This window comes from Homo sapiens, chromosome 17 (assembly GCF_000001405.40).
Source record: "Homo sapiens chromosome 17, GRCh38.p14 Primary Assembly".
Taxonomy (NCBI): domain Eukaryota; kingdom Metazoa; phylum Chordata; class Mammalia; order Primates; family Hominidae; genus Homo; species Homo sapiens.
Window position 1 is genome coordinate 10,417,712 of NC_000017.11, and position 14,612 is coordinate 10,432,323.

Genomic DNA, 14,612 nt, shown 5'->3' on the forward strand with positions numbered 1-14,612 from the left:
TTTCTGGGAGGTAGTTAGCTTCTGTTGACAATCAAAGAACAGTTTACTGGCATAGAATCCTTGTAGAATTGATGGCCAATTTGTAATGGGAGATTCCTATTTTATTCCTTCCTCTTTATTCTCCCCCTCGAAAAGACAATTTAAAAACAAGTGCAAAAAAACAAACCAAAAAGAAAGAAAAAACACCTTAGTTTCCAAAATTCCATGGAACAACAGGAAACTCAGGAATAGAAAGTATTTCCAAAGGCAGTGCATTTGGTGTGTGAAGATAAAAGGTTTTAATGCTGTATTTGGGCCTATAATGCGTATCAAAGCTGGTTGTTTATGCCTTGATAAGGCAGGAGTAACAGACTTTGATACAATTTAAACATTTTTCTCAGAAAAGATTTTTTCCTTTCATTGTAATAGGAAAGTGCTTCAAATCTTTGGGAGGAAAATCATAGCTTTCTTTACTCATGTTTTACCCTTAAAGGCTGGCAATATTAGCTGTGTCATTCAAAAATAAACATAAGAATTCACAAAGTTTTCCAGCTGTGGCTGATAACTCTTTTCGTTGACTGCTGTGAGCCTGGGTATTTTTAAAAAGTCTGTTTGAACACTTTTTTCTATCCAAATTGGAAAGTAACAAAATATGGAAAACAATAAATATGTTTACAGTGGTCTAGTAATTGTTTCAGCTAGGCTTCCACTTAACTATCTGTGTTAGCTTGGGAAGGACAGTGAATTCAGTGAGCTTCACTTTACTCATCTGTAAAATGGAGGTAGCTGCTGGGAAGAGCATAAGATGTCACAGCTGTGAAAGTTTTTTGAAAACAGTGAAGCCCCATGTGGCTAGAATGTATTATCATAACATAAAGAGGCTCGGAAGAGGTCTGTCTGTTCTGCAAAGATTCTATTTACACATTTCTGTAAATAGATGCCTCACTCACTCACCAGTCAACATGAACTGATAGGCATTGTCAGAGATGGAGAAGATGTGGGGCGGGGCCTCCTGGCGCTTTTTGCCTCTGTAGGCAGCCACCACCTCGGGCTTGTACACCGGCAGCCACTTGTAGGGGTTGACGGTGACACAGAAGAGGCCTGAGTAGGTCTGGGAAGATCAGAACATTTATCATTTGGATCTCGTTTTTACTCAGAGAGAGACATGAAATAAAAAGGTGTTTACAGACACTCACGTAGATCATCCAGGCTGCATAGCGCTCTTTGAGGTTGTACAGCACTCCAGGCTCGTGTAGATGAGTCATCATGGCCATGTCCTCAATTTTGTCATATTTCGGAGGGTTCATAGGGAAGACTTGGTCTTCCCTGACAGTTAGAGTCTGGTGAGTAAGCAAGAAACCAGTTCGTTTTTGTTTGTTTGTTTGAGATAGAGTTTTGCTTTTTTTGCCCAGGCTGGAGTGCAGTGGCGCGATCTCAGCTCACTGCAACCTCCGCCCTCCTGCTTCAAGTGATTGTCCTGCCTCAGCCTTCTGAGTAGCTGGGATTGCAAGTGCCCATCACCATGCCCAGCTAATTTTTGTATTTTTAGTAGAGACAGGATTTCGCCATGTTGGCCAGGCTGGTCTCGAACTCCTGATCTCAGGTGATCCACCTGCCTCAGCCTCCCAAAGTGCTGGGATTACAGGCGTGAGCCACTGCGCCTGGCTAAGACCAGTTCGTTTTAATGGTTGGAGGTAGGGTTTATGTTTGCCTGTATATTTTGGTACAAAACTATAATCACACATACTTCTCATTATATTATTTAATGTCCTCTTAAAAAAGGCATGAAATATATTCATTTCAGAGTTTAATGTTAAGAAAACCTGTTTCCTATGATGAGCTAGGACACTATCTTTTTAAAAGATTTTTTCCTCCCACATTCTCTTATCCCAGATTTATCAGTTTATATCCTTTTTTTCTTATTTTAGTAGGCTAAATTTTTATTTTTTTCTTTCATTCATTAAGAAACTTCATGTTTTTGGAAGTAATGGGGATATTAATACATTATTTAACTAAGTAAATATTTAACTTCTGATAGGAGGAGCTTGTTTTCATTTCCCTCAAGTTTGGACATTCAGACTAGGAAGTGGGGAATTGAAGGGAAATGGTGAAGGCCATACATAGTGGGGTGAGGTCCTGTGCGAAGTTGGGAAGGGAAGACATGAAGGTACTGCTGTGAATTTCTTTTGCCTTCCACATCTAATGTCTCAACACTGACTAGAAGGGTGTTTGCATTGGCAACAGGCTTGGAGATTCCCAGTAAGTTAGGCTTCAACTTTTGAACCAAGAAATAAAATGGGGAGTATTTTCTCCCTGTTTTCACTTACTGCTCCACCTTCAGTCTTTACGGTTACTTTCCCTCCTTCTTTGCTTTGTATAGTGCTCTTCACATAGGATTCCTTGGGCTCCGCCACAAAGACAGATGTTTTAGCATCAAACGGCTTGTTTTGGGCCTCAATCCGCTCCTTTTCTGATTTTCGAAGGTAGGGAGCAGCTTCGCCAAAAACAGCCATCTCAGCGTCTGAGCTCGCACTCATGGCTGCGATTTATTTAGCAAAGGATTCTGCCTAGGGAGGAGAGAAACGGGAGAGAGAGATATAAAAAGCAGAAGTCACAAATGTGAGTTAGGATTTGAAATGAAAGAAATGTTGAACATAGCCTGTGCTGTAACTATTCCTCCAAACTGGCACTCCCCAGTGTTCTAACATAGTCTAAAGGACAAGTATGGAGTGAGACTGTAATTTGAGATTTCATTTTTAGGACTGTGAATTTCCTTTTCAGATCACATATCTTGATCCTCAGGGATAGGGTACCTACAATTGAATTAGAATGAAACCTCTACAGCTAAAACTATTGATGGATTGTTTTATAGCAACTGTCATTATTTAATTTCCTCTCCTCTTTCTGCATAATGTTTGTCTATGCCATATGCCAGGACAATCATATGGTGAGAAAAGAAAGTTTGTCTTGTTCAAATGAAGGTTCATATTTTCAAAGCTATCAAAAAATCTTTGCCTTTTAAGATGGCCATTTTCTCTCATAAAGCAAATAATTATTTTTAACATCTTTATGTTGATATTTGGTGTTGTATCTCTCAGTGGATTGTTAGAAGAACATAATACATTCTAATACTCTGGATTTTTTGTAATTTGGGTTGTTCCCAACAGACTTAGCATTGCCTTGATTCCAAAATCTTTTTTGACATGAGAGATTTCAGCTGTCAGTTAACAGATCTAACCACAGAGGAATGAGAGCTTCAGCACAAAGGCCCTTCTTCCCACATAAATTCCATGGGTTTCTTTTCTTTCCACCCAGAAAACAGAGAAAAAAGTTTTAAGAGTACATCACATGCATGTAAGCCATTGTCTTCTGATTAATAGATAGGCCTCTGCAATGTGGACATGTTAGATTGGTTGAGTTTTTCCTTTATTTTCAATTAGAAAGTTACTTAGGGAAGGGCAGGATTCCTCTTAAATTAGTCATGGTATTTAACACCCGGTGGATGTAATACTTGCGACCTGTTAAGTAAATAATAATAAGTCTTTCTAACAACAAATAACAAATAATCAAAGGTAGCTAAAATATTTATATTTATATTTCTAGGTAAAAATCTTTCTGGAGTCTTTAAAAATGTCTATAAAATGTCCTAAGTCCTCAATGCTTTGCCATAGAAGAAGACTGGCATGGACTAGTCTATTGCCACTGGACAGTTCTAAGCACAGCTGAGAACTCACTGTTGAAGCTAATTCTGTCCTAAACGGTCTTTGAATCTTGGAACCCAAATGAGGATAGTCTCTGAGAAGAAGACATTTTGAAAAAGTTATTTTCTAGCATTTATAAACACTCACTCGGAAACACTCTTTCCTGATATAACTGCAAAAACATGGAAATGGTGTATAATTCAGGATTGTTCACAGCTTCATTAGACTATATCCCCTCTGTCATCAATAAATTAATAAAGCCAAGTCTTACCTCTGGAGTTCCAGATAAAAATGCAGGTTCAGAAGTGTTCCACTCTGTAAAACAACAAGCTTCTTATTAGTGATGCTCCGAAATTCCAATATTATAGTTACAGAATTGTTATTATAGTTACAGAATTGAAGTTTCCCTACCCCAAAGCTTGGTTCTATGAAGACAAAAGTTAAGATTGAGAGAGCAGTTTAATGCTCACAGATAACTACGAGGTCAGCTCTTTTCCCCACCTGGGGTTTTTCGAGTTCCAAGGCCTTCATCACTTACCTCTGGGTTCTTGGTGGAAATAAGGCACAAGGGGCAGTCCTGCTTATATAGGAACTAATGTGCTGATGCTGCAACTACCTCCTCTTTGTTAGGGCAAGACATTTGGCAACATGAACCCTCAGCATAGTTTGTAGTGACATTTGTCATGTTTGGATATAATTAGAAGTATTCATATCATTTTGTGTATGCAAACCAATCTCCTATAAATAATTTGACAGAGACCGATCTGCCAGCAGAGAATGCTTTCTAGTGTGCTGGGAAGGGAATCTTTGACAGTGCCTGATGGGGCCTCAGAGTAAGTTCTTAAGAGCTATATTCAATTTGGCAAACTCTTTCATGCACGCCTGTGGTAGCCAAATGATCAGATACCCGGGGCACACGGCTGTCAGGGCCTTAAGCACGTTTCCTTATTTGCTACCACGGGAACCCCCCACTGCATTCCCTTGGGCCACTACAGATGCTCACTCTTGAAGTCCAGGCTTAGACAGCAGAGATTCTACCTTGAGTCTCCACCATTGGGCCAGTGCCCACTCATCTAACTTTGAAAAACATTATTAGTAGAAAATAATATGTTTATTACAGAAAAAAATACAGGTAAGTAAAAAAAGTCTCTGTAATCTCTAATGCAGAAATAAGATAGAGGCGTATAAGTGGGATCATATTATAGATGCATATATAGTACATGTGTGCCTTGTAATATGCTTTAATAATTAATATATCATATCACTAATGTAATTTATACCCTATTCTTTAAATAAATTATGATTTTTTTTAATTAAACTCTTTCCTTTTTTTAAGGTCAGATATATTGAGGTATAATTTACATAGAGTCAAATTCACCCTTTTAAAGTGACAGTTTTATGAGGTTTTTTGCTTTTATTTTTAAAAATTTTTAAACTTTATAATAAAATTTACTTCTTTTGTTGTATGATTGTATGAGTTTTTATACACGTATTGATTCATGTAGCCACCACCACAGATAGGATGCAGAACAATTCCAGGCCTATGGGTTTGATAAATATATGCAGGTGTGTAACCTCTTACACTGTAATTACATAAAAATTAAAGCCTTAGAGATTAGGCTAAATTTTCCCTTTGATGAACACTCACAATGCTGGTATCTCCCTTTTCTCCCAAGGTAACTACGGATACCCGTTTAGTTTGTAATATTGCAGACCTTTTCTGTACATTTACATATGTATTTTCTGGGAAAATATAAATTAGTAAAACTGGTCTAAGGAAATTGGGCCATAGAAAATTTATAATATATAATATAGATGTTTAAAATATAGATAGTATGATTATTTATTTACAAACTTTCTTTTTTCATTCTACACTCTTGGATCATTTGCCATGTTAGTACATAAATAATAATATGAAAACATTTCAAACATATGCAAAAGTAGAGGGGATAGCATAATGAACCTAGTATATTCATCATCCAGCACTGATAATTATCAGTTCATGGTCAGTCTTGTTTCTTATATATTCTCACCATTCCCTCTATCACTGGATTATTTTGATATTACTCATTTTTAAATTTCTGTGTAAAATTCCGTAGGTTTAAGATTGTAATAATTTTGTTTATACAAGTTCTAAAAAGTTTCTCCTGATTTAATAATGATCTTTACTATGCGATCTCAATCTTCTAGAAGTTTTACATCTTTAGGTAGTCAGAGTTATAAAAAATTTTCTTTTATATTTTTGGTTTTTTGTGTGTATTGTATAAGAAAAACTTTCTCTAACTCAAGAACTCAGAGTCATACATATATTCTTCTGTATTTTCAAGCTAATGCTTATGAAATAGTGAGATGTGTAATCCTGTATTTTCAATCTGATGCTTAAAAAATAGTGAGATTTGTAATCCAGCTGTGTGTGTGTTCGTGTGCATGTAATCTGTTTCTGGATTCCATATTTTGTACCGTATTTCTATGCCAATAGCATAGGTTTTGATGACCAGTAGGGCCAATTTTCCCTAATTATTCAAAGTTGTCCTGTTAATTTTTACCTTCTACTATATGAGTTTTAGAATCATGTTCTTCAGGTTATGGAAAATTCTATTGGGATTTTGATTTTGATTAAATTGATTTAATAGATTAATTTGATAAGAGTTGATAGCTTTATAAAAGTGAGTCTTTCAGTTTATAAGGATGATATATTTTCCTGTTTATTCCAAGTCCTTTTCAAAAATACTTTTTAGTCATTTTTAAAAGTTTTTTCCATAATGATCTTATATTCCTTGTTCGGTGTATTCCTACAAATTTTAGAGTTTTCTGTTGATATGTTGAATAGGATTATTTTTTCTATTACACTTTCTACTTGGTTACTACTGGCACGTGGCAGACAAGTTTGCATAATCAGAGCTTCACTTTTGTTTGTGGCAGTAGTATGCCAAACTATATATTATTATATTCAGACTCTCAGCATAGGGTAACCATATGACACTGTTTTGGCTAATGAAATGCAAGCAGAAGTTGCTGGGTGGAGCTTCCAGAAAAGCTCTTTTCTAAAAGAGGGTAGACTTTGCTCATACTACCTTTTTCTTTCCTATCTCTATCTTTCTCCTACGTAGAACACAGATGTAATGGCTAGAACTATAGCCTTAAAAGAAAGGTCAAGAGATTTTTGGAGACCTTAGCCTTGACACCTGTGAGCTGAATTTCATTGTGTGAAGAAAAAAGTAAAGCACTAATTTTTTGAGGCATTGTTTACTCAGGTTTTTTTTGTTACATTCAAACACAATCCCTAACATACACGGCGTTTCAGAAAGTTACTGACTTTTCTGTGTTAACCGTTATCTGGCCCTCTTGCCGAACTCTCTTACCACCTCTAATAATTTATTTGATGCTCTTGGATTTTCAATGTGTCATGCGCAAATAATCACAATTTGTGTCTTCTTTCTCTTGTCATTTATATGTTATTTTTTTCCCTTCTCTTATTACATTGTCTATGACATTTAGGACAGTGTTGAATAGTATTAATATAGTATTAATACAGAGATACTTGTGTACATATCCTGTGCAAGATAAGGGCATCCTTATCTTGTTCTTGACTTTTATTGGATTGCATCTGATGTTTCACCAAACATAATATTTACTGTATACTTTGTATCTAGTTTGCTAATCATTTTGATCATAAAAATGAGTTAAATAGTTCTATTTCTAGGTATATGCCCGAGAGAATTGAAAACATGTTTATATAAAAACTTGTACATAAAGTTTATAGCAACATTATCTATAATAGCCAAAAAGTGGGAACAATCAGATGTCCATCGGGCAACAGGTAGATAAGCAAAATCCTGTTTATCCTATAATGGACTCTATTAATGCAATGAAATATTATTCAGCCATAAAAAGGAGTGAAGTTAGATGCTACTATATGGGTGAACCTAAAAATATTATGTTAAGTGAAAGAAGCCTGACACAAAGGGCCCATATTTGATGATTCTGTAGATCTAAAATGCCCAGAATAGGCAAATCCATAGAGAAAGAAAATACATTAGTGATTGCCAGAGGATGTGGAGAGAAGAGAATTGGGGAGTGACTGAAAATGGACATGGAGTTTCTTTTTGGGGTGATGAAAACATTCTGGAATTAATAGTGATGGTTGCATAACTTTGTGAATCTAATAAAAACCACTGAATTATACACTTTAAATTGTGAATTTTATGGTATGTAAATTATGTCTACAAATAATGGGTTGAATTTTACCAAATTTTTTATATCTGTTGAGATTACTGTTTTTCTCCCCTGACCTATCAATGGAGTGAATTATATGGTAGGTTTTTCTCACCTTTACCACCCTAGAATTCATGAAATAAAAGCTATTGATATAATATTGTTTAATTCTCTGCTGCTTTCAGTTTTCGAATTTTTTATTGGAATTTTAAAATCTGAGTTCATATATGACTAGGTCAAAGTTTTCTTGTGCTATCATTTTCTTGTTTTGATATTAGGATCATATTAGTCTTGTAAAATAAACTGAGCAGCTTCCCATTTGTTTGTGTTTTCTATAACATTGCGTTTGAGATGTGAATTATCTGTTCCATGATGGTTTGATAGAGTTCCTCCATGGAATTCTTTTGACCTCTAGCCTTTGTGGAATATAATTTTTTTACTCTTATTGAGTTTTTTTTATGATTATTGATTAGTCTTTGTAGAGTTTCTACTTGTCTTTTGGCCCATTTGGATGATTTATATTTTCCTATAAAATTACTTATTTTGTGTGAGTTTTTATATTTTTGGGTCTTTTTTGTGCATATCTCTATAATAAAAAATCTCAGTTTAGTAATCTGTTTCATTATTTATATTAATTTTGTTCTTCTTTTTATTTTAAATCATATTTGCCAAAGTTTTATCTTTTTCATTTAGTTTTACTGATAGCTTTTATTTTCTAGCTTATTATTTTCTTTTAGTTTTATCAATTGCTTTATTTCCTTAGATTTGTTTTGATTAATTATAATTAGTTTAAAATTTTGATTCTTGTTTCAACTCCCAAATTATTTAAAGCATTTTGTTTTTTAAACTTCCAGGTGTATGAATTTGGGTGTTGGGCAGGCGGATTTCATCTAGCCGTTAATTATTTTTATCTTTTGTGAGTGTGTGTGGTTGTGGTGTGTTCATATCCTAGTACGCCCAATGGGAATGAGGATTATGGTTCCTGTGATTGTGTTTGTGTGTGTGGATGTAAGTCATAAAACAATTCAAATAGTATCCAATACCCCACGAAACTCTCATGATCTTCTGTATTATAACTCATATTTTCCTTCCTTAAAAGGTTACTATGAATTTATTTTTATGATAATTATTTCTCTGCATTTCTTAATGTTTTAAAATTTGTATATGCATCCCTAGTTTAGTTTTGCTGGTTTTGAACTTCATGTGAATACAACTGAATTTATTTTTTAGTATCTTACTTCTTTTGCCCAAAATTATTGTTGTGAGATTTTTCCATGAAGTTGCATGTAACTGTGTTTTATATTCATTGTGTACAGTATTACCTTGTCTGATAATATGATTATTTATTCATTCTACTGCAGACAAATTTTTGGGTTGTTCCCAGTTTTTGGCTGTAGTTTATTGATTGATTGATTGCATGATGAACAGTGACTGTCACCTGTATGATATCTCATTTTAGAATTAGTTGACATTTCTTTTGTGGCTTTGTTCATAGATCAGGGTATTTTTTTTAAACATCTTTATTTAGGTAGAATTTTACATACCTTAAATGTCATCCATTTTAATTATACAGTTAATGAATTTTAGTAAACTTATAAAATTGTGCAGTCATCACCACAATCTAGTTTTAGAATACTTTTATCAATCCAAAAAGTTTCCTTTTGCTCATTTGCTGTTAATTCCCATTCAACCCCAAACCTTGGGGAACCACTGATGTGCTTTTTGTCTCTACAATTTTGCCTTCTTAAGAAATCGTATAGAAATGGAATCCTACAATAGGCAATTTTTCGTGTCTGGCTTCTTTCCCTTAGCATTTTCATTTCAACTCCCAAATTATTTTATTTTTTAAACTTCCAGGTGTAGAAAGTTGGTTGCTGGGGAGGCAGATTTTATCTAGCTATTAACTTTTTATCTTTTGTGAGTGTGTTTGGTTGTTGTGTGTTCGTATCCTAGAAGGAAATTCAATTTTTTGAATTTCATCTATATGCTGTTTTATGTGTCAGTAATTCATTTCTTTTTATGAATGTATATGTGGTAGTCCATTGTCTAGAGGTACCACATTTTGTTTATCCATTAACCAGTTGATGGACATTTGAATTCTTCCTAGCTTTTGGCTTTTATAAATAATGCTGTTATTAACATTCCACATAAGTTGTTGTTCAGACATTTGTTTTTATTGGTTTGTTTTCCAGGAATGGATGTTGGATATTATAAGAAATGGCCAGACTGGGAAATAGCAGACAAAAGATATTGCATCTATTCTGGTTGGAGAATTGCAGTAGTGGAGTTCTAAGTAAAAGAAAGCAAGTTTCCAGGAATAAAAAGCTTTTACCACCCAATGAATTAACAGGCCATCCTACTTGACATCAAAACACATCTTTAAAATATGGGATTAAAACAATATATAATTAATGTAGATAAGTATAAGAGTAGAACATAATATAGTCCAGAAATGGACTCTTGTATGTATAGCAAGTTAGTATAAGATAAAGGTGCATTTCTGATTCACTAGAGGAAGGGAAGAACAATTCAGTGAATTAAAATTGAGACTTAACAATTTGAAAAAAAATTAAATTACTTCCTTGGCTGACACCATTTATAAAAATAAGTTCTAGATGAATTAACATCTTAGGCATAAAAACAAAGAAGTATTGAAGAAATTATAGGAGAATATATTGATACTGTCGGAGTAGGGGGAGATCTTTAATAAGGCAAAAAGATCAGACATTTGACCACATCAAAATGTAAAACTTCTCAATGATTAAAAAAATCTACACAAACAAATTGAAAGACAAGTGGCAGGCTTGGACAAACTATTAGCAACTTAAATAAAGAAGTTATATTCAACACACACACACACACACACACACACACACACACACACACACACACACACACATCTCTTTCAAATAGAAAAGAAAGGGAGATACAAGCAAGTAGGAAAAAATAGCCAAAAGATAGAAATAGATAATTCATGGAAGAGGCAATACATATGGCTAATAAACATGAAAACATGCTCAATCTCAAGAGGTACAAAATAAAATAACAAAGAGCTAGTGTATTTTACCCATCAAGTTGGCAAAAAAAAAATAATAATGGTAGCAAATGGTGGTGCAGAGAGGTGAATGTAATATGTTGTGAGTAAAGGTGTAAATTTCCAGGGCAATTTGTTATATCTTTTGAAATTTAAAATTGCAGTGATTTCACTTCTCACTTTCTTTCCTGCAGAAGCACACTGAAATAGGAAGGATGCTCAAGAGTGTACATTTAACATTTCTTCTAATAGCAAAATTTTGGAAACAACTGTCAATTCAGTTACTTGTAAGTTAATTAAGTGGCCACCTGTTAAGTGGTGGTGCTCCGATGATGTGGTCAGTGGTTGAAACTTGAAACTCGCCTTAATCTAAGATTTGGATCAGCATAATGCATTTTCCACTGGTTCTCTTTGAGATATACTGAAAACTGAAAATCTTATTTAAAATAACAATAAACAATGAAGTAAAGAGTTTTTATAGGTAACATATATAAGAATACTAAACTGGGAGATATATTTTGCTAAAGCCTAATTATTGGTATATTTCAACCCTTCTGTAATGTACAGATATCTCTTCTACCATTCTTGTGTGACAACTCATTTATTTTAACTTAGAGTAAAGGCCCTTCCAAGGGTCTGGCTTACATCCCTTGTCCTTGCTCTTCTTCGCTAGTATCCACTTACAATTAAGCCGAGGGTGAACATTAAGTTACCGTATCCAATGACCCTTCTGCTCTAAGAGTCCTTGCCAGAAATTAGCTTACAATTCCTAAGATTTCCTCTGCCCTAAGAGTTCCTCTATTTTCTCTCTGCAGTGAGTAAAAGCAGATGAATTACAGCCACTTTAAGACATCTCTACCTTTTCTAAAACTCTGTAATTATATTCTCTTCAACCAAAGGAAACAACTGACCTTTCATATGACTCATGCCAAAGAGGAATGTTATTTAGATTCATCCACATTCTTGCATGTATCAGTAGTTCATTTCTTTTTATTGGGGAGTAGTACTCCGTTGTGAGGATGTACCATATTTTATTCATCTGTTCTCTTGCTGGTATATATTTTTTATCTTTTTATAGACATATCTTTCATTTCTTTCAGTTAAATAACAAGGAGTGGAATTGTTGGATCAAGAGGTAGGTGTCTAGTAACTGTACTGTTTTACATCCTCGCTAGTGATATATGAGCAATGTGGTTGCTCAGTGTCATTAGTCTTTATAAATTTAGCCATTCTTGTTGGTTTGTAGTGGAATCTCTTTGTGGTTTTAAAATGTATGTCCCTAGACAATGATATTGAGCAACTTTTAGTTTTGTTATTAAGCTTTCATATATTCTCTTGATGAAATGTCTGTGTTTTGCCCATTTTTGTTGGATTATTTTTAAAGAATATTGTTTTGTTTGTGTTCTTTATAAGTCATTTTTTCAGTATATGTATTGCATATATTTTTTTTAGTAGGTGGCTTGCCTTTTTGTGTTCTTAACAGTACTTTGATGAGCAGTAGCTTTAACTTTGAAGAGGACCAGTTTTATCATTTTTTCTTTCATATTTAGTGCTTGCTGTGTTCTGTTTAAGAAATTTTGCACGAGATTACAAAGATACTCTCCTATATTTTCTTCTAGGAGATGTATAATTTTAGTATTTACATTTAAATCTGTTGTCTACCTTGAATTAATTGTTGTGTATGCGTTATTATTTTTTTCCATACAGATGTCTAATTGATCCATCATCATTTGTTGCAGAGACTTTTCTTTCCACATTGAATTGCATTAGCAACTTAGTAAAAAGTCCACTATATACATATTGGATCTATTTCCAGACTCTCCATTCTACTCTATTCTGTTCCATTCAAGTATTCTTCTACCCTTACACTAATACCACACTATCTTAATTACTGTAGCTTTGTAATAAATTTTAAAGTCTGTAGAGTAAGTTCTCCAATTTTATACTACTTACTTTTTAAGACTTCTTTGGCTACTGTAGGTACTTTATATACTTATATGCATTTTAATATCAAACTGCCAACTTCTACCAAAAAAAAAAGCTTGATAGGATTTTGATTAGGGTTACACTAAAACTATAGATCAATTTGTGGAAAACTGACAGATTTACAATATTGAGACTTCAGTCCAAGAACATGGTGTCTCTCTCTCTCCTCTCTCTTTTAGTCCCATTTTTTGACAGAAAGTGTTCACTGTTTTATTATTAAGCAAGATATCTTAGCTGTGCTTTATTTGTAGGTGCCTCTTACTAGATTGAGAAAGTTTTCTTTTATTGCTTGTTTGCTGAGAGGTTTTTTTTTCATGGATGGGTGTTGGATATTGTCAAATGCTTTACTTCATCTGTTGAGATAGTTATATGATTTTCTTTTTTATTCTGTGAATGTTATGAATTACCTGATTTTTGAATATTAAACCTACCTTGCATTCCTGTGATAAATTCCATTTGGTCATGATTTATTATTATTATTGTTGTTGTTAATATTGTTTTCATATATAGTAGGCACTGCATAATGACATTTTGGTTGACAGCGGACTGCATGTATTATGGTGGTCCCATAAGATTATAATACTGTATTTTTCCTGTACCTTTTCTATATTTAGATATGTTTAGATACACAAATACCATTCTGCTACAGTTACCTACAGTATTCTGTACGGCAACATACTGTCCAGGTTTGTAGTCTAGGAGCAGTAGGCTATACCACATAGCCCAGGTGTGTAGTAGGCTATACTGTCTAGGTTTGTGTAAGTACACTCTGTGATATTTGTACAATGAGGAAATTGTCTAATGATGCATATTTCAGAACATATCCCCATTGGTAAGCAACACACGATTGTATTGTTAGACGTTGTTGGATTTGACTTGCCAAAATTTTGTTAAGGATTTTTGCATCTATTAGGGATATTGGACTATAATTTTCTATATTGTTTTTCTATTCTCGATTTCATTAATTTCTCCTCTAGCCTCTATTATGTCCTTTCTTCTACTTGCTTTAGATTTCATTTGTTTTTCCCACCTGCTGTGCCTTAGGTGGAAAATTAGGTTATTATTTGAGCTCTTTCTTCTCTCTTTATATAGACATTTACAACTGTAAAGTTCTGTCTAAGCACTGCTTTAGCTGCATCCCATATGTTTTTGTATATTGTATATTGTATCTTCATGTTCATTCATCTCAGAGTACTTTCTGGTTTCCCTTTCGATTTTTTCTTTGACACATGATTATTTAGGAGTGTGTTGTTTAATTTCCACAAATCTGTGATTGTCTCAATTTTTTTCCTAGTATTGATTTCTAATTTCATTCCATTGTGGTCAGAGAACATACTTTGTATCATGCCTATCCTTCTAAGTTTACTGAAGTTTGTTTTATAGCCTAGCATGTGGTCTGTCCTGGAGAATGTTACATTTGAACTTGAGAAGGATGTATATTCTGTTGTTACTGGGTGGTGTGTTCTATAGATATCTGTTAGGTCTATTTGGTTTATAGTGTTTTTCAAGTCTTCCTTTTTTTCTTATTGATCTTCATTAATTGTTACATCCATTATTGAAAGTGGGTTATTGACATCTTCAATCATTATTGTGGAATTGTCAGTTTCTCCCTTTATTTCTGTCAGTTTTTGATTCATATGTTTTGGTGCCTCTGCTATTAGGCGCAAATATATGTATAAGTATTATGTCTTCCTGAT

At 33.9% G+C, this 14,612-nt stretch overlaps 1 protein-coding gene and 1 long non-coding RNA gene across 2 annotated transcripts in view; one reads left to right on the top strand and one right to left on the bottom strand.

The window, feature by feature from the left end:
* MYH8 (myosin heavy chain 8) overlaps positions 1–4,239 on the bottom strand; it is a 31,629-nt gene extending 27,390 nt beyond the window's left edge. The window contains exons 1-5 of the mRNA NM_002472.3: positions 4,219–4,239; positions 3,952–3,995; positions 2,307–2,546; positions 1,176–1,319; positions 934–1,090 (exon numbers count right to left, since the gene is read on the bottom strand). Of these exons, the coding sequence (NP_002463.2) occupies positions 934–1,090; positions 1,176–1,319; positions 2,307–2,516 (511 nt within the window). The 5' untranslated portion in view covers positions 2,517–2,546; positions 3,952–3,995; positions 4,219–4,239. The remainder of the gene's footprint in view (positions 1–933; positions 1,091–1,175; positions 1,320–2,306; positions 2,547–3,951; positions 3,996–4,218) is intronic.
* MYHAS (myosin heavy chain gene cluster antisense RNA) overlaps positions 1–14,612 on the top strand; it is a 242,409-nt gene that overhangs the window by 34,580 nt on the left and 193,217 nt on the right. The window lies entirely within an intron of this gene.